Source organism: Homo sapiens, chromosome 1 (assembly GCF_000001405.40).
Source record: "Homo sapiens chromosome 1, GRCh38.p14 Primary Assembly".
Taxonomy (NCBI): Eukaryota; Metazoa; Chordata; class Mammalia; order Primates; family Hominidae; genus Homo; species Homo sapiens.
In genome coordinates this window covers 222,689,521-222,708,291 of record NC_000001.11, presented here as the reverse complement: position 1 = coordinate 222,708,291, position 18,771 = coordinate 222,689,521, and the positions used below count along the sequence as shown (strand labels likewise).

The 18,771-nt window shown below is 37.1% G+C and overlaps 1 protein-coding gene across 2 annotated transcripts in view, besides 1 other annotated feature; it reads left to right on the top strand.

Annotated features, from left to right (window-relative positions):
- The window catches only part of AIDA (axin interactor, dorsalization associated), a 44,479-nt gene that overhangs the window by 4,200 nt on the left and 21,508 nt on the right, over positions 1 to 18,771 (top strand). For both annotated transcript variants that reach the window (NM_022831.4, XM_047428100.1), the window contains exons 2-4: positions 5,075 to 5,144; positions 14,029 to 14,082; positions 14,449 to 14,503. In NM_022831.4, coding sequence (NP_073742.2) covers positions 5,075 to 5,144; positions 14,029 to 14,082; positions 14,449 to 14,503 — 179 coding nt within the window. The remainder of the gene's footprint in view (positions 1 to 5,074; positions 5,145 to 14,028; positions 14,083 to 14,448; positions 14,504 to 18,771) is intronic.
- Positions 13,631 to 13,800: an enhancer, noted in NCBI's record as "experimental_5183 CRE fragment used in MPRA reporter constructs". NCBI's record gives its function as "activates a minimal promoter by MPRAs in K562 erythroleukemia cells, with activity observed for the introgressed 1:222867919 variant allele {active_cell/tissue: K562}" and the evidence as "EXISTENCE:reporter gene assay evidence [ECO:0000049][PMID:34662402]".

The window sequence follows — 18,771 nt, the reverse complement described above, 5'->3', positions numbered from 1 at the left end:
TCGCCCAGGCTGGAGTGCAGTGGTGCGATTTCGGCTCACTGCAACCTCCACTTCCCAGGTTCAAGTGATTCTCCTGCCTCAGCCTCCTGAGTAGCTGGGACTACAGGCGCGTGCCACCACACCTGGCTAATTTTTTTTTATTTTTAGTAGAGACGGGGTTTCACCATGTTGGCCAGGCTGGTCTCGAACTCCTGACCTCAAGTGATCTGCCTGCCTTGGCCTCCCAAAGTCCTGGGATTACAGGCATGAGCCACCAGGCCCGGCCCCACTTGTCATTTTTGCTGTGCTTTATGTCTCTGCTACTTAAAGTGTGGTCCACAGATTGGTGATGGTCTGTAAACTGTTACTGCTGTGCAGTAAGATAAGGAAAGAAATTGAGAGCATGTGGAAACTTTATAGCAATTTGACATCCTCATGATATTTTTGAAATTGTATTTCACAAAAGTATTAGTCTAGAACAAATTTAGGGAAAAAGTGATCCTTTGCTACAGATGGTTTGAGAAGCACGAATTTCTATGTCACAGAATGCTGTGGGGTTTCCAGGAGTTACTTGTGTATGTGCTTAAGGTATGTTTAAAACTCTCCCTTGAGAATAGTCCCGTTTTACTTGTAGGTACCTTTGTAGGGTGAGATGAGTCTCTAGAGAAGAATATTTGACAGGTTTATTTCACTTTTCCTAATAGAATGTCAACATTTATTTGCTCATCTAATATTCAGAACGTGTAGATTTCTCTCAGTGGACACAATCAGGTGTCACTTTGTCTTAAAATGGTATACTCATTTGTGGATATAGAAAATTAATTTTTCATGTCGGCTTAAAAAGTTCTTTTTATGGCTGGGTGCGGTGGCTCACGCCTGTAATCCCAGCACTTTGGGAGGCCTTAGATGGGTAGAATGCTTGAGCTCAGGAGTTCAAGACCAGCCTTGGCAACATGGCAAAACCCAGTCTCTACAAAACACACAAAAATTAGCCTTGTGTGGTGGTACACGCCTGTGGTCTCAGCTACTCAGGAGGCTGAGGTGGGAGGATTGCTTGAGCCCCGGAGACAGAGGTTGCAGTGAGCCAAGATCATGCCACTGCACTCCAGCCTGCCCAAGTTGTTTTTTTTTCCTCCTGTCTCAAAAAAAAAGTTATTTTACAGACAACTTTATTGAGGTATAATTTATATACATGAAATTCATCTATTTTACATGTACAATTTAATGATTTTTTAGTGAAATTTACCAAGATGTGCAACCATCGTTACAGATTTTAGAAAATTTCCATCACCCCCACAAGACACCTAGTGTTCATTTGCAGTCACTCCATATCATATTCCCACTCTAGCAACAGACTACCACTGATCTACATTTTGTCTCTATAGATCTGTCTTTTCCAGACATTTCACGAAATTTGAATCATGCAGTATGTGATCTTTTTTTTTTTTTTTTTTTTTTGAGGCGCAGTCCCACTCTGTTACCCTGGGCGGAGTGCAGGGGGGTGATCTAGGCTCACTGCAACCTCCATGATTTTCGTGCCTCAGCCTCCTGAGTAGCTGGGATTACAGGTGCGCATCACCACGCCTGGCTAATTTTTGTATTTTTTTGTAGAGACAGGGTTTCACCATGTTGGCCAGGCTGGTCTCGAACTCCTCACCTCAAGTGATCCACCTGCCTCGGCCTCCCAATGTGCTGGGATTACAGGCATGAGCCACCACATGCCGGGTGTGATCTTTTGCATCTGACTTCTTTCATTTAGCGTAATTAATGTTTTTAAGTTTCATCTATGTTGTAGCATGTGTCATTGCTTTTTTTTTTTAAATTGGTGTGTAATACTACCTTTTATGGATATACCATATTTGGTGTATCCTTTCACTAGTTGGTGGACATTTGGATTGTTTCTACTTTTGGACTGTTACTAGTAATACTGCCCTGAACATTCAAATGCAAGTCTTTGCATGGACATATATTTTCATTTTTCTTGGGTAGATGCCTAGGAGTGGAATTACTGGGTCATATGATAAATTTATGTGTAACTTTATAAAGAAACTGCCAAATAATTCTCCAAACTGGGTGTATCATTTTATATTTGTACCAGCAGTGCAGGAGGGTTCCAGTCTCTTCATATCACCAGCATTTGTTATTGTCTTTTGGATTATAGCCATTCTAGCGGGTGTATAATACATACCTCACTGTGGTTTTAATCTGCATTTCTTTAGTGACTAATAAAGTTGAGTGTCTTTTTGTATGCTTCCTTTCCTTCTGTAAATTTTTTTAACTATCTTTTCAAATCTTTTACGCATTTTAAAATTGAGTTTCCTGTCTTTTATCTATTGAATTCTAAGTGATCTTTATATATTCTGGATACAGTCTTTTATCAGATATATGATTTGCAAATATTTCCTCTGATTCTTTTGTGCATTTTTTTTTGATGGAGTTTTGGTCTTGTTACTCAGGCTGGAGTGCAGTGGTGCGATCTTGGCTCACTGCACCCTTTGCCTCCCGGGTTCAAGCGATTCTCCTGCCTCAGCCTCCACAGTAGCTGGGATTACAGGTGCCAGCCACCACGCCCCGCTAATTTTCATATTTTTAGTAGAGACAGGGGTTTCACCATGTTGGCTAGGCTGGTCTCGAACTCCTCACCTCAGGTGATCCACCCACTTGGCCTCCCAAAGTGCTGGGATTACAGGTGTGAGCCACTCTGCCTGGCCTTGCATAACTTTTATGCAAGATTCCTTTTGAATCAAGCATCCTTCCTTTCCCTATTGCCAATTAGCGGTTGAACAGGAGTGTAGAATTACACCCTTCTGACAGTGATTCTGCTTAGGTTGATGGCCACCACTGCAAATTATGTGTAGAATTACTCAAAGAAACTCATTCCACACTGTAACTTCCCTGAGTTCAGGGATGTATAGTTGATGTTGTTAAGGATACAGTGTATAGATTACTCGGGAGTACTCCATGTAGGTGGTAGGCCAGTAAGAGTTAGAAAAGAAACCAAGTACAGAACAAAGACAATGGCTATATTGTTTCTATTTGTACCTTCTCCTGTATAGAATCCACAAAAAGTGAGTCTATGAATGACATTTTAGGGAAAATATTATGAGGCTTCCAGCTTTGGGAGAAAAGAAATAAATGAATAGAAGCAGTTCGACTAAGTAACACAGTGGAGCTATCTTGCAAATATTAAGTTTTTTTGAAGCTAATTATTGCCTTATGTTAAGGAGGATGCAAACCTTTCATAAATTGGATAGAGGCCATCAAGAATAAGGTACTTTATGCCTTATCTTTAAAGACATGATTGCATAGAACTCCCATCTAGTACATTTTATTTGGAAACATAAACTATTTCCTGCAGTTGGCTTGGTAGAAAATCTAGCACTTGCTACCCTTTGTATTCCTGTTCCTATTGCCCACCCAGAATAGTACATAATATGCTTGGGAGTTTAATTTTCAAATTCTTATGCCAGTTTTTTCTCATATATTTTTTTAAAATTGAGATAAATATCACATCACATGAAACTTACCAGTTTAAAGCGTACAATTCCATGGTTTTTAGTGTATTCACAGTGTTGTACAACCATTTCCACTGTCTAATTCCTGAACATTCCCATCACTCCCGAAAGAAACCCCATACTTGGTATCAGTTACTCCCAGTTCCCTCATCTCCTGGCAACCACTAATCTGCTTTTTGTCTCTGTGGATTGATCTAGTCTGGACATTTCATATAAATGGAATCATATAACGTATAATCTTTTGCATCTGGCTTTTTTCATTTAGCATAATGTTTTTGAAGTTCATCTGTGTTACACATGTTAGTAGTACTTCATTCCTCTTTTTGACTGAATAATTTTCCATTGAATGGATATACCACATTTTGTCCATCAGTTGATGGACATTTTGGTAGTTTTCACTTTTTGGCTGTACATTTGTGTTCAGTTTTTTTGTGTGTAAACATATGGTTTTTCAGTTCTCTTGGATATATACCTAGGATTTTGAAATTGCTGGGTCATACAGTAAGTCTATATTTAACTTTTTGAGGAATGGCCAAATTGTTTTCCACAGTGGCTGGTGCCATTTTACATTCCCACCAGCAATATCTGAGGGTTCCAGTTTTTCACATCCTGTCAGTACCTGTTGTCTTCTCTCTCTTTCCCCCATAAGGATGCAGTTCCATTTTTTAAAAAATTGTACTCATTCTAGTGGGTATGAAGTGATAGCTCATTGTGATTTTGATCTGTGTTTTCATAATGACTAGTAATGTTGATCATCTTTTCATGTGCTTATTGACCATTTTATGTCTTCTTTGGAGAACTATCTATTCAAATCCTTTGTCCAAAATTGGTCTTTTTATAGTTGAGACCATAGTTTTATAGTTTAGTTTGTAAGAGGGTTGACTTTTACAAACTAAACTATACAAGTTTTTTGCTGTCTCAGAAATAACTTTGGGTCCTTATTGTTGAGCTTGGACTAATAATATAGATCCATCCACTAAAAACTCATGCAAGGCCTAGCTGTTATTTTTAAGTATAATGATAATTGGACAATGATTTCTGTTGCTGATTGGTGGAGAATTTGCTTTATTTTCCATGAAAACATGTTTTCAAAAGTATATATTGATAGTAGGATGGATTATTACCACTTTGTCATTGCTGTAATTTGGATTAGGACTAATTTTACTACCAAATCAATGACAGACTGATAAAGTATCTCTGGTTGGTATAATCACTGGTGCTCCCTGGAAGTGTTTAAGCAGAATCTGGACAACTACTTATTGGCTTATTATAGAAGAAAGTCATGCATACTAAAGAAAGTTGGATTAGATGCCCTTTGAGATTCTTTCCAGCTCTGTTTTTACTGCCTAGAGCTGAAGTTTGTCCCAGTGAAATGGTATGAAAAGTATTGTATCTTATTTTCATCATCATTGTATAAAGAGTTTTTTTTTTTTTGAGAAGAATTTGGTTCTCAATGTAGATTTGTATTTTAAAAACAGGACAATAATTGTACTTCACATGTTAAAAAGCTTTAAATTGTTACACTTTGTTGCAGTAGTTTGCTTTTCTTCCATTCTAAAGAATATGTTTTCTTCTTACAGATTAGCAAGACATCTACAAAAGGAGGCCCAAGCTCAACACAATAATTCTGAATTCACAGAAGAACAAAAGGTACCATAAAATAATCTCTAGATATATCAGATTCCAAACAAAAAGTGTTTTGTCTTTTGAGTTCATTAAGCAAAACAAAAAACAACAAAACAAAAACAAAAAACTGTTATACTTAAGTAAAAAGAATGATATTGATTATGCTTTGCCTAACATTAAGTGATTATTTAGAGATACCATATGACTTATCAATTTAAAGCAATACAATTGTTGTACTCAGCCATTTAGGCTTTGCTTAACTTTGCTTAACTTTAGTGGAGACCATTCATGCTTTCGCTGAAGAGGGGGAGAACCCAGTCCACACTTTGGTGAAGACTGGGGAAACCCAGAGACTGGAGTGTGTCTAGAGTCCTTGGGAAAATAGAAAGATTGTGGGTAATTGCATTCCACCCCAGCACTTACTTGATTCTGAACTTTCCTAACTCCTGTCTACCTTCTCTCAGAACAAACAAATACACACAAAAAACAAAAGACCAAGACAAACCAAAACACCTCTCCACTGAAAACAATTAGTTCAAGTCAAGAATTTGGCATAAAAATCCATCTGCAAAATAAATGCGTAAGGTTGCAAAATGTTTCAATCGTGCCTTTTCTCCTTGAATTAAATTTTTTGTGTGTCAAGTTGAGTTTCTAAACTGTTAGTGATTATGAAAAATGGGCGACTGAAGCTTTAAAAGAGTTAGAAGGAATGGGAGGAAACAACTCCCATTATCTCTTGGCTCAGAGTATCTAGTGTTAAGTCAATGTTTAATCTTGTAGATAATGAAAAAAAAAGTGTCAGTCTATTCCCCATCTCTTAAGAAAAGACAGTGTGAAAACTATGGCAACATAATTTGCTCTTATTCTTTACAAAGGGAATGTACAAAGGGAGTGGTAATGATTTTTCCACACTTTTATGGTAAGCCTAACAACATCCATTTTAGTCTATTCATCTACGTTCATTTGACTCTTATTTATAGGAATTTGGGAAGAAGAAGCCCCTAAAGATTAGGGTTGCCACATTTCTTACACAAGTTTGTATATTTGCATTTTAAAAATATTTAGGATCTACTTTATCTAATGTACTTTTTTATTTTGTATTTAAAAAACAAAAATCACTACAATTTAAAAGAATTTTTTTTTTTTTTGGCTGGGTGTGGTAGCTTACGCCTGTAATCCCAGCACTTCGGGAGGCCGAGGTGGGCAGATCACTTGAGGTCAGGAGTTCGAGACCAGCCTGGCCAATATGGTAAAACCCCGTCTCTACTAAAAATACAAAAATTAGCTGAGTGTAGTGGTGTGTGCCTGTAATCCCAGCTACTAGGGAGGCTGAGGCAAGAGAATCACTTGAACCTGGGAGGCAGAGGTTGCAGTGAGCTGAGATAGCACCACTGCACTCCAGCCTGCGCGACAGCCAGAGCAAGACTCTTGTCTTGAAAATAAATAAATTTTTAAAAAAAGAATATTTTTTTTTCTTAGTAGCTCCTAATATACACAATAGATATTAGGAGTCTTAGGATTTTAGCCCTGGAAAATAATGACCACAGTGGAAATTACTGATTTGCTTAAGGAAAGGAGCCTCTGTAAAATCTGAAATTTCTCTAGGAATTGATTAGGAAATGATCAGCTGGCATCACAGAATTGGGAGTTACAGTACCTAAATTTTGATAAACAGAATCACAGATAGCCACATATATAAATTAATAGCTATCAGAATGTGTTATGAATATGGAAACAGAATGAAAACTTAAGGAATTAAAAAATGTTTAATCTTTAATCACCTGTTTGAGTTACTTGCATCCTGTTTCCAACATATATTGCTGAGGTATAGGACTTCTGAGCCAAATGACCTCAAATATAAAGTGATTTGACCTAAAACACACCAAAAATTATATTTAAAGAAAAATACCACTGGGCATGGTGCCACATGCCTGTAATCTTAGCACTTTGGGAGGTCGAGTTGGGAAGATTGTTTCAGCCCAGGAGTTCAAGACCGGCCTGGGCAACATGGTGAAACCCCATCTCTACTGAAAATACAAAAATTAGGTAGGCGTGGTGGTGTAAGCCTGTAGTTCCAGCTACTTGGGAGGCTGAGGTGGGAGGATCACCTGAACTCGGGAGGCGGAGATTGCAGTGAGCTGAGATCATGCCACTGCACTCCAGCCTGGGCGACACAGTGAGACCCTGTCCCCCCCCCCCCAAAAAAAATCAAGAAATGAGTCTATCGTATAATGATTAGACTGATGAGAAAAAATTAACTTTTTCTTAATTTTCTTCAACTTTCTAAGGCTGAAGCTGGTGTTTGATAAAGCTATTTAGTTTTAAATTTATAGCTATTCCTTAGCAGCCACATGGCCACTGTCTTTTTTCAGCTTATCTTTGGTTGCAAAGACCCGCAGATCTTTTTTTTTTTTTTTGAGACGGAGTCTTGCTCTGTCACCCAGGCCGGAGTGCAGTGGCGCTATCTCGGCTCACTGCAAGCTCCGCCTCCCGGGTTCACGCCATTCTCCTGCCTCAGCCTCCCGAGTAGCTGGGACTAAGGCGCCCGCCACCGCGCCCAGCTAATTTTTTGTATTTTTAGTAGAGACAGGGTTTCACGTGTTAGCCAGGATAGTCTCGATCTCCTGACCTCGTGATCCGCCCATCTGGGCCTCCCAGAGTGCTGGGATTACAGGCGTGAGCCACCGCGCCCGGCCCGACCCACAGATCTTGTACCCCAAAAGGACCAGGAGGCAGCATGACCTAGACGAGAGAGCTGAGATCTGGAGTCAGAAGACTGGGAGTCTTGCTCTTGCTCTGGCTGTGGCCTTAATTTTCTTATGTATGAAATGAGGGACTAGAAAACTCTAAATGATCTTCAGAGTATCCCTGAATCTTCTCATGTCCTCTACTTTGAAGTGTTCTGCCCTGCCTTCTTTACTGGAGGCCTGATTTCTGAGGCATTTATTATTTATGATACCTGCCTAGGAGGCATTTGTGGCTGCCAGTTGAGACTACAGAGAGAGCTTGTGCCTGCCTGCCTATTCTTTGGACTTGGATAAGGAACCCCAAATCACTGTATACTACATTGTGAATATAAGGCAATTTGTATGCCTTTAAAAGTTTAATTTTCTTAGCCGGACGCGGTGGCTCACGCCTGTAATCCTAGCACTTTGGGAGGCCGAGGTGGGCAGATCACGAGGTCAGGAGATCGAATTCACGGTGAAACCCCGTCTCTACTAAAAATACAAAAAATTAGCCAGCGTGGTGGCGGGCACCTGTAGTCCCAGCTACTCGGGAGGCTGAGGCAGGAGAATGGCATGAACCCGGGAGGCGGAGCTTGCAGTGAGCCGAGATCGCACCACTGCACTCCAGCCTGGGCGACAGAGCGAGACTTGTCTCAAAAAAAAAAAAAAAGTTTAATTTTCTTTAAAAATGCAAGCAAAACATTCACAGCGGGCCAAAAAAAGCCATACTGACATGTAGGCCTTATTTCAATGTCACATAGGGAATAAGTTATCAGAGGCTCTAAGTTAATAAATGATTAGAAAACAGATCTTCCAGGTGTATTCTGGGGAACATTGGTTCTGAAAAATTAATAGATGTTATTTGAACAGATAGAGTTTGTGACTTCTCGGGACCTTTAGTATGCACATGTGTACGTTTAATATTTTAAAGAGTTTGGGCATGTAGTATTTTAAAATTTATTTGCTTTTGGAAGTCTCCGTCTCCCTTCAAAGAACATTTCATTGAGTCCAGTGTTCTGAAACATATTATGGGAAATTTTGATATAAACTGTTGGATCTGCAAAATTAATTAAATGCCTAGCATGCAAGCCAAAGGAGAAAAAACTCAATTGTGTTTTCTTCAAAAGAGGAAAATGGAAAATGTTCTTTACATTATGCTAAGCAAAATTGTTGTTTATGTTTTTTATTTTTAATTGGAATTTTTATGCTTTTACTATTTTTAGTGTTTTTGTAGCAATGGCAAATCTTAGAATTATGCCAACCGTTCAATAGTTTGCACAACTTTGAAAGAAAATTAAAAAAACAAAACAAAACATACTTTGGCCAGACGGGGTGTCTCACACCTGTAATCGCAGCACTTTGGGAGGCCGAGTGAGGCAGATCATGAGGTCAGGAGATCGAGACTGTCCTGGCTAACACGGTGAAACCCCGTCTCTACTGAAAATACAAAAAATTAGCCAGGCGTGGTGGCGGGCACCTGTAGTCCCAGCTACTCGGGAGGCTGAGGCAGAACAATGGCATGAACCTGGGAGGCGGAGCTTGCAGTGAACCAAGATCCTGCCACTGTACTCCACCCTGGGCTACAGAGCTAGACTCTGTCTCAAAACAAACAAACACAAAACATATTTTTAAAGTGCTTTCTTTATGAAACTTGTTACTGTCTAGTGCACAGTGAGCCCTTAAAAATATTTGATGGGCCAGGCGTGGTGGCTCATGCCTGTAATCCCAGCACTTTGGGAGGCTGAGGCGGGCGGATCACCTGAGGTCTGGAATTCGAGACCAGCCTGCCCAACACGGAGAAACCCCGTCTCTACTAAAAATACAAAATTAGCTGGGCGTGGTCAGACATGCTTGTAATCCCAGCTACTTGGGAGGTTTAGGCAGGAGAATCGCTTGAATCTGGGAGGCAGAGGTTGCAGTGAGCCGAAATCACACCACTGCACCCGAGCCTGGGCAACAAGAGTGAAACTGCGTCTCAAAAAAAAAAAAAAAAAAAATTGATGAATAAATGCTATTCTGTTGTCTTAGGTTGTTGATATTTATTCACATATGATTGTTATTTAAGACGATTAATTCTGTTTTTTAGATAAATTCTCATTTTTGAGAGAGTAACTTATATTCATTTTCACGATATTTATTTTAAGTCTAACAAGCTCTAAAGCAGAACTACTGATCTCTAAACTTTATTAATTGGTGATAAATAGTATGAAAACTTCATTTTTTAAATTCTTAATATTCTCAGCGATTTCTGGTGTAAAATAAAGTTCATGATACTTATTTGGTCTTCTTTTATGATTAGTTCACTTAGCTTTCATTTCAGTTCCTGATAGTGTTGTCATTATAACAACTGGGTTTGGTAACCAATGAATAGCTGCCAAAAGCTTTCATTCCACTGAATTCCTGACTTTGGTGTAGTAGATTTTCTCAAGTAAGTTTCTGGACAGAATAGAATATCCTGTCTCATGATGCTTAGAAAGCGTTTCCCTGTCTTGAGTCAAATTTGGTGGTAATGAGAATTCCAGCACTATATGCTTGTTTTATATTTTATAATGCTCTCCTTTCCACCCTTACCCTCATCTCTTCCCCCTCAGTTCTACCCCCACCACCTCCAGCTCCCAGCTGGACAGTAGATTACTGGCTGTTTGAATCTAAAAAATTAAGTCTGGATTAAGTGAGAATATTCTACTTTATATGTATTTTTTAAACCTATTTTTTCTTATATAGATTGAATACGTTTTAGCAAAATTAACTTAGCTCTTTAATCGTCCATTTCTATTCCATCTTTTCCTTTAACTGATCTTTTGAGCTGTCAATTTTCCTAGCAATGACAATTAATAGCCAATATTTTGAAAATGAAAGCATTTTCCAATTTATACCATATTGGATATGAGCAGTTAATTTGAGTGCTAATAATTCAAGTCTTAATTGTCAGTACATATACTCTGACACATGTGAACTTGTGCTTCTTAATCATTTTTCTGAGTCATCTGTTTCTAAGAAAAGTGAAACAATTACAGTAGCAAGCGCTTGATTTTGATATCAATACATTCTAAATGTTTTAGAAGTTAATGCTATAGCTGAAATGAGTGTTCCACTCCTTTTTTAATACTGAGGTTGGGTGTGGTTCCTTAAAATAGTTATGAATAATGCCTATGGAGGTATTTTGCCATAGTTCAGTCGATTTCTGTATTAAAAACTGTTGCAGCCAGGCACAGTGGCTCATGCCTGTAATCCCAGTACTTTGGGAGGCCGAGGCAGGTGGATCACCTGAGGTCAGGAGTTCGAGACCAGCCTGGCCAACATGGTGAAACCCTGTCTCTAATAAAAATACAGAAATTAGCCGGGCGCGGTGGTGGATGCCTGTAATCCCAGCTACTCGAGAGGCTGAGGCAGGAGAATCGCTTGAGCCTGGGAGGCGGAGGTTGCAGTAAGCTGAGACCGTGCCACTGCACACCAGCCTGGGCAACAGAGTGAGACTCCGTATATTAAAAAAAAACAAAAACAAACAAAAAACACCTGTTGCTTCTGCTTCAAGAAATGTTTAAATTTAAAATAGTTTATTGGTGGACTCATAGTTGTTAAACTACAACATTTTACCTTAAATGTTAAAAGCATGAAATCACATGGATTTTACAGTAAAGAAAGGAAAAGAAAGTAATGCTTTAAAAGACTTAGTAATTGACATATCTCACTTAATACAGACAAAATTCTTTTTAAAAATCTGTTTTCAAAGAACATGAAAGTATAGCTAAATGGTATTGATATAAAAATATTGCTTTATTATATATATTGCTATATTGCATAGAAGGCATTGCTGGTCTGCCACCATACCACCCTGAATGCTCCCAATCTTGTATGATCTCAGAAGCTAAGCAGGGTTGGTCCTGATTAATACTTGGATGGGAGAAGGCATTGATGCCTAGGGCAAGTTACTTAACCTCTCTGTGCTTCAGTTTTCACACTTTTAAAATGGTTTTATCTAACTCATAGAGTTATAGTGAGGATTAAAAGAATTACTGTTTGTAAATCACTTAGGAGAGCCTGTCACTTAGTAAGTGCTCAGTAGTTGTTAGCCATTACTATTACTATTATATTTATGTTTAGAATTATTTACTAGTTTTGTTAGAATTGAGTGGCGTGTTTGAATAACAATAATTTGAGGATATTGGATTCTACGTAGAAAAGACTATTTGCTGGTTTCTATGCAACAGTTGTTTGAGAGAGTGAATAAATCTGTGAATATCGTGAAATCTTTTGCAGTTGCCACATATAAATGTAATTTTCAAATGTAATCTTTAAATGTAAGTTTTCAGAATAAAATTGGACATCTTCTAAACTCTTGTGTTGGGATTAAAACTAATTTTTAGAGATTGTGGAAATGGTTCAATATTGTCACTTATTCTTCGGCATCGAGTCGTATCTTGCTCAGTAGTGGTTTATTTTGTGAGTTGTTGTATCGCCGTTTATTGTAGATGTGGTAGTTGCATAAGTGCTAGGGGCCAGGATGGCACTTGTTACTCCAATTTGCTCCTTATTCACCTTCCAAAGAAAATTGATAAAAGAGAAAACCACCGAGTCCAATTTACTAAACTTTTGCAAGTTATCAATACATTTAGAAAAACATGCTTTTTTCCTTCCCAGAATATTTCATTGTGCAGGCATTGCAGACATTGTGCATAAATACTTTTATGATCTGGATTTATTCCTAATAAAAACTTAAGAAGTATCTCTTTTGGAAGGACTTAAAAGCCTTGATGGGCATAATTAGCTGCCTGCCCTGATATATGTTTCTTATATGAATCTCCCTTTAATTTCTACCCTAGTTATTCATATTTTTGTTCTGATTACTATTTACCTGGACAATTGAAATAACCTGATTGATGTTGCCTTTAGTCTTTGCCCTTTCCTACTTCAACCTATGTATACTTTTATCACAATAGTCTTCTTTTTTTTTGAGATGGAGTCTCACTCTGTTACCCAGGCTGGAGTGCAGTGGCATGATTTCAGCTCACTGCAACCTCCGCCTCCCAGGTTTAAGCGATTCTCCCGCCTCAGCCTTCCCAGTAGCTGGGACTACAGGCATGTGCAACCATACCTGGCTAATTTTTGTATTTTTAGTAGAGACAGAGTTTCGCCATGTTGGCCAGGCTGGTCTTGAACCCCCAACCTCAAGTGATCTGCCTGCCTTGGACTCCCAAAGTGCTGGGATTACAGGCGTGAGCTACCACGCCCGGCCACAATGGTCTTCTTAAAGGGCAGATCTGAAAGAGGTAGAGAAAACCAAAACACAAAAAAATCCCTTCTGTGTAATTACTGCTAAAGTAATCACAGATTCCTCAGCTGGTTATTGAAGGTCCACCTCAGAATGACAGCCCCCTTCTCTCAACTTTACTTTTCTGCCTGCTTTCAGTTTGAGACTTTAGACAATTGAACCATGACAATTTTCTAAACCCTTTAATTTTAGAAATCCTCCTGGTCGTTGGGGCTTGATTCCTAATACAGATCTTGTTCTGTTTCTTTAGGTCATATAGTGGCATACCTTGCTAAAGTTCATACAATCAAATGTCTGCTTTATTTTATAGTGATTCTGTATGTGTCTTATCTCTCCTAATGCAACATGAGCTTATTAAAGGCAAACACTATCTATGCCCTATCATTAATATCCATTTTATAGCTCATGTTATATGAAACAGATCCAACTATAAAATTTACTACCGTTTATCACAAATACCAGTTTTGCTTAGTGTTGCCTATATATTAAACAAGTTGGTGTTGGACTTAAGTCAGAATTAAATTAATTATACCATTGTGCTAACTTTCAGATATTTTTAAGCCTTTTAAAAGGTGAATTTTAGGCTTTATGGAGAAGAAAAGGTGAAGCTTGGAACAGAAGATACCAGGCAGCCCTTTAAATCATATCTACAGCTGTCATCAAAGCAAACTTGATTTAGAATTAGTTGTGGCACATTAGGTCAGGGGAGAATATATACTCACCTTCTCTCCCTCATCCCAACCCTTTGCCTCTTATTTCTTTTCTCTAGAGTCTGAAAGATGCTAGAAAGAAATAAAATTTAACTTACTTAAGAGAATTATGGATCTTTTATTAATAAAAATTAACTTGATGATTTGAACTAACAGTTATGATAATTCTGGTATTTATAGCTTTTTTTATTCCCCTGCAGAAAACCATAGGCAAAATTGCAACATGCTTGGAATTGCGAAGTGCAGCTTTACAGGTAAGGAGTTTTTCTCTTCTGTAATACAAGGAAAATAAATTATTCTGCATTATTGTGATAAAACATTAGACATTTATGTCAAAAGCAGTATTGTCTCAGAAGTGTTTTATAACAACATCTATTAAATTCATACTTTTTTAGTTCATATTTCGTAAATTGTAAAATAAAAGATATGACTTCAATTTTTTCTGTTATTTTTGGCCTGAGTGTTCCAAAAATAAACAAAAACCAGTTTGGGACTTTTCATTTTCTACCTTGAAAGCAAGAAATAGAATCCTTTTGAATATTTGGTTCTTGCCACTTAAAAGACAGGGTGCAGTGAAATCCTTGTAGTGAAAAGATGTAATATGCTTATTTTAAATTTAGTCCACACAGTCTCAAGAAGAATTTAAACTGGAGGACCTGAAGAAGCTAGAACCAAGTAAGTTTAAGTTTATATTTTTTTGTGATACTCCTTTGGAAAAATAATCTATTGTAGATGTTAAGGCTATTTAACAAAGATTATGATTTGATTTATTTCTGTTAATATCTAGTCCTATGTGATTTTTTGGGTGCTTTTGTTACTTCTGTAACATTTGTAGTAATTATTTTTTGGATTTTACCTTCGTTGTAGAATATATGAGGTTGTACCTCATCTAAATATGTATTAGCCTTTATTTTGTCTTACTCACTTTAATAAAACCACAATTACTTTGGTAAACATTTGCAGCAGCATCTATTGGAGAATATAAAGCTTTAGTCATTGATTCCCATTTACACTACATGTCATTGAAAACTACAGTCCAGCTGTTGGAGCTGCTCTGCAAAATATTTTTTTTGTTGTCTTCATTTTCCTTTCTCCTTAAAACTCTTTTGAAGTAAATAATTTCTTCAAATGTTTTGATGGTTAGTATGCTGCCAAATAAAGCTTTTTTGCTGGTTTAGATGAATGTTCTTTGCAATATGGGCAAATGCACAAGAGTTGAATATAAAACTAAATGAATATAAATCAATATTCTCATTTTTCATTGAGACAAGACTGCACATCTTAACATTATTATGTATATAGAGTCTATTTATCCATCTAAGTCAAATATCTAAGTAGGGAATCATAAAATCATAGCATTTTAGAACAGAAAGGAGTTTTAAGAGTCATATAGTTGAGTTCTCTCACTTTATAGTTGAACAAAGCTGAAATGATTTGCTCTGTTTCACTTCAGCCCTTAGTAGCCACTTCTAAGGAAAATTAATGACTATAACTTGCAGTATGTTGGACTAGGTTGGTTGTTTTGCTGATGTATTCTTCAGTTTTAAAAAATCTCTTGAAAATCATGTCTGAAATTCATACTGATGGTGAAAATACATTTAATTTGCTTATAATAATCCTCAGTCACATACTACTTCTTACTCAAACATATCTCTTCATGACCCTGTAAAATTCCCTTCCATAAATTCATCCTTCAAAGTCCCTCAGATGTCCCATCTTTCTCTGTTCCCCTAGCCATATTAAACTCGGCTTCCTATCTTTTATAGTAACACTTTTTATATCCATCTTCATTGTTTGCCCTGTATTCATTTCACTCCTCAAAGAGATTGTGAATAACCTTTGTATTTTTCCCACAGAGCCTGATTCAGTGCTTTGTATGTAATATGGGCATGGCAAATTTTGTTACATTGAATAGAATTGAATGTCTTCAGGGAAACTTCTCATAATTAAAAAATAATCTTTCAGATGGGAACAGTTACCCATTTTGCCTACCACAAAAATGAAACAAGTCAGTGGCAAAGAGAACACATGTTGATATTTGTGTGTGTGTCATTTCTAGAGTGTAAGCTTCAGGAGGGTGGCAGGTCTGTGCTCCGTGAGAGCAGGCTAGGAGTGCAGAGTTTTTACTAGTAGGGTACATCCCCACGTCTGCCATTCAGAGGTCCTCAGTGTGTAGAGTCTACTGAATGAGCCAGTGAGTCCCCAACCCATGATGTACTTTGTGTTCATTTAATACCTTCTGTGAAATTATAAACTCACCTCTCCCCTTCTCCGCATCCTCCTAAAGTATAATTAGTAGTACTAGTGGAAGGAAAACCCTATGTAAAGTTTAAGGTAAATCCTGTTTTTAAAGGACATTGGAATCCCTGTTATTCTATAATTGGTGAAAATGGAAACCTATCCTACAGAAAATAAGAAAGGATTGTTTTTCCTTCCAACATTATCCACATATATTAAATATTTGATACACTCTACATTTGTAAAAACAAAATAATGAAAGGTTATTATGCCAGAACAAACATTTCCTTTTCAAAACATTGATACCTAAGAAAATACTGTTTAATTCTTCTATTACAATACAAAGGGAAGATACTCCTAGTAACTGATACAGTTTTCAGCTTTTTTGTTGGTGTTTTATACAAATGTAAAGGTTGATTTTTTCCCCCATTTTATTATTAAAATATTACTATATGTTTTTGTTTCTGATATGACTGACACATGGTCTTTTTTGTCACCTGTTCCCCTTTCCCATTCTTAGTATCTAATACAATATTATGTTAGTGATTAATTGATATTTATTGAGTTGAATTAACCATTTACTAACAATGAGCTATCATGTACGAAGTTTAGAAAGGATGTTCTTATAATTTTTTTTTTAAAAATAGTGCTTTTTAGTGAGATCTGAAATGCAAGGATTCTAGTCGGCTAAATAGTGGTAGAGAATGAGTTATATAATAATGTAGGTTTATACTTGTACTTTAAATTTTTCTATGTAATTTCGTGATTTTAATTCTGACAACAGACTCTGAAGGAAATGTTCTCATTGTAGAATTGAGGAAACTGAGATTCAGAGTGGCTATGTGAATGTTGAAGTCTTGGCATAATTCTTGGGCTAGGATTTGATTTCAAACCTTCTAACTTTCATCTTCTGCCACTTCTGCCTTGCTTATCAAACTTCTGCTATACAGTTGATTTATTCCTTGAATAAGCCTGACTAGTTTCTGCCTCAGAGCCTTTGTTGTTGCTCCAGGCTGTTCGCTAATCCCTGGAAAGCCCTTTCCCTACAGCTGCCTGCATATGGTTCCTCTCATCCTAGGTCATGGCTCAAATGTCTTCTAATAATTTGGTTTTGAAAGGCTTACCCTGTCTACCTTAGCTAAAGTTTTCCCTCTTCTCTACTTAATCCATTTACACACTCATCCTGTTTGTGTCCTTTATAACACTAATCACAGTTACATTCTTACTTGTTGGCTTATTGCTTTTTCTGATGAGAGTCTGAGATCCATATATGAGGGCAAAGACTCTCTGTCTTTATCACTGTTCTCTTCAGCATCTAAATCAGTGATTGGAACATTATAGGCACTCAATCCATATTTGTTGAGAAGAAGAAAGAAAGAGAATGAATGAGAATCTAGACACCAGCCTCAGAGTTCTTTCTCACAGGAGGGTTTGGTATAGATTACATACATAAGAATGAATATACTGTGGATTATGTATATAAGATTATATATATAAGAAGGTATAGATTATATGTATGAAGAGTATATATTATAAGATTATATACATATAAACGTATAGATTATAATATAAGAATAAGATGAAGGAATGTTGGAGTAAGTCACGGAATTGCAACATGCAGTCTCTGGATTTCCTCCTTTGGGATGCCAATATGCCACACCCATTTTAGCTCTAAACTGCAGGACTCCAAAATTAAAGATTGAGTAAACTGAGTACAAAATCATGGAAGCCTTTTAGGTCTTCCAGTTTATGCCATGAATTCACTTTAATGTAATCACGAGTAGTTACTGGGCACCCATAAGGCCAGAAATGAAACTGAATTACATACATACCCTTCAGAGGTAGCTAGAATTGTAAGATGCCTCTCTTTAAGTTTACATGCCAGAATGTAATCATTGAAATACAGATTGGTCACAGCCAGAACACAGGAGGTGGTCCCATATTGTTTGAAGTCTTCTCTTCAGGATAAATCCCTCTTTGTGAATGTGTGTATATAAATATGGAAGTACATGTGTATATATACAATCATTTGTCACTTAATGACAGGGATGCACTCAAGGAAATACATCCTTAGGTGATTTTGTTGTGTGAGCATCATAGAGTGCACTTACACAAACCTAGATGGTATAGCCTATATGGTATAGCCTATTGCTCCTAGGCTACAAACCTCTACAACCTGTTACTGTACTGAATACTGTAGGCAATTGTAACACAGTGGTAAGTTTTTATGTATGTAACCTATCTGAACATAGTAGAAAAAGGATAGTAAAAGTACATATAAAAGATAATAAAATGGTATGCCTTTATAGGGTACTTACTATGAATGGAGCTTGCAGGACTGAAAGTTGCTCTGGGTGAGTCAGTGAGTGAGTGATAAGTGGATATGAAGGCCTAGGACATTATTGTACACTACCGTAGACTTTATAAACACTGTACAATTAGGCTAAACTAAATTTATTGTAAAAATTATCCTGTCTTTAATAATAAATTAACCTTAGTTTACTGTATATAAACTTTATTAACTTTAACTTTTTAAAACTTTTGACTCTTTTGTAATATCATTTAGCTTAAAATACAAACACTTTGTACAGCTGTACAAATATATATACGTGTGTGTGTGTGTATATATATGTGTGTGTGTGTGTATATATATATACATATATATACATATATATGTATATATATGTGTGTGTGTGTATGTGTGT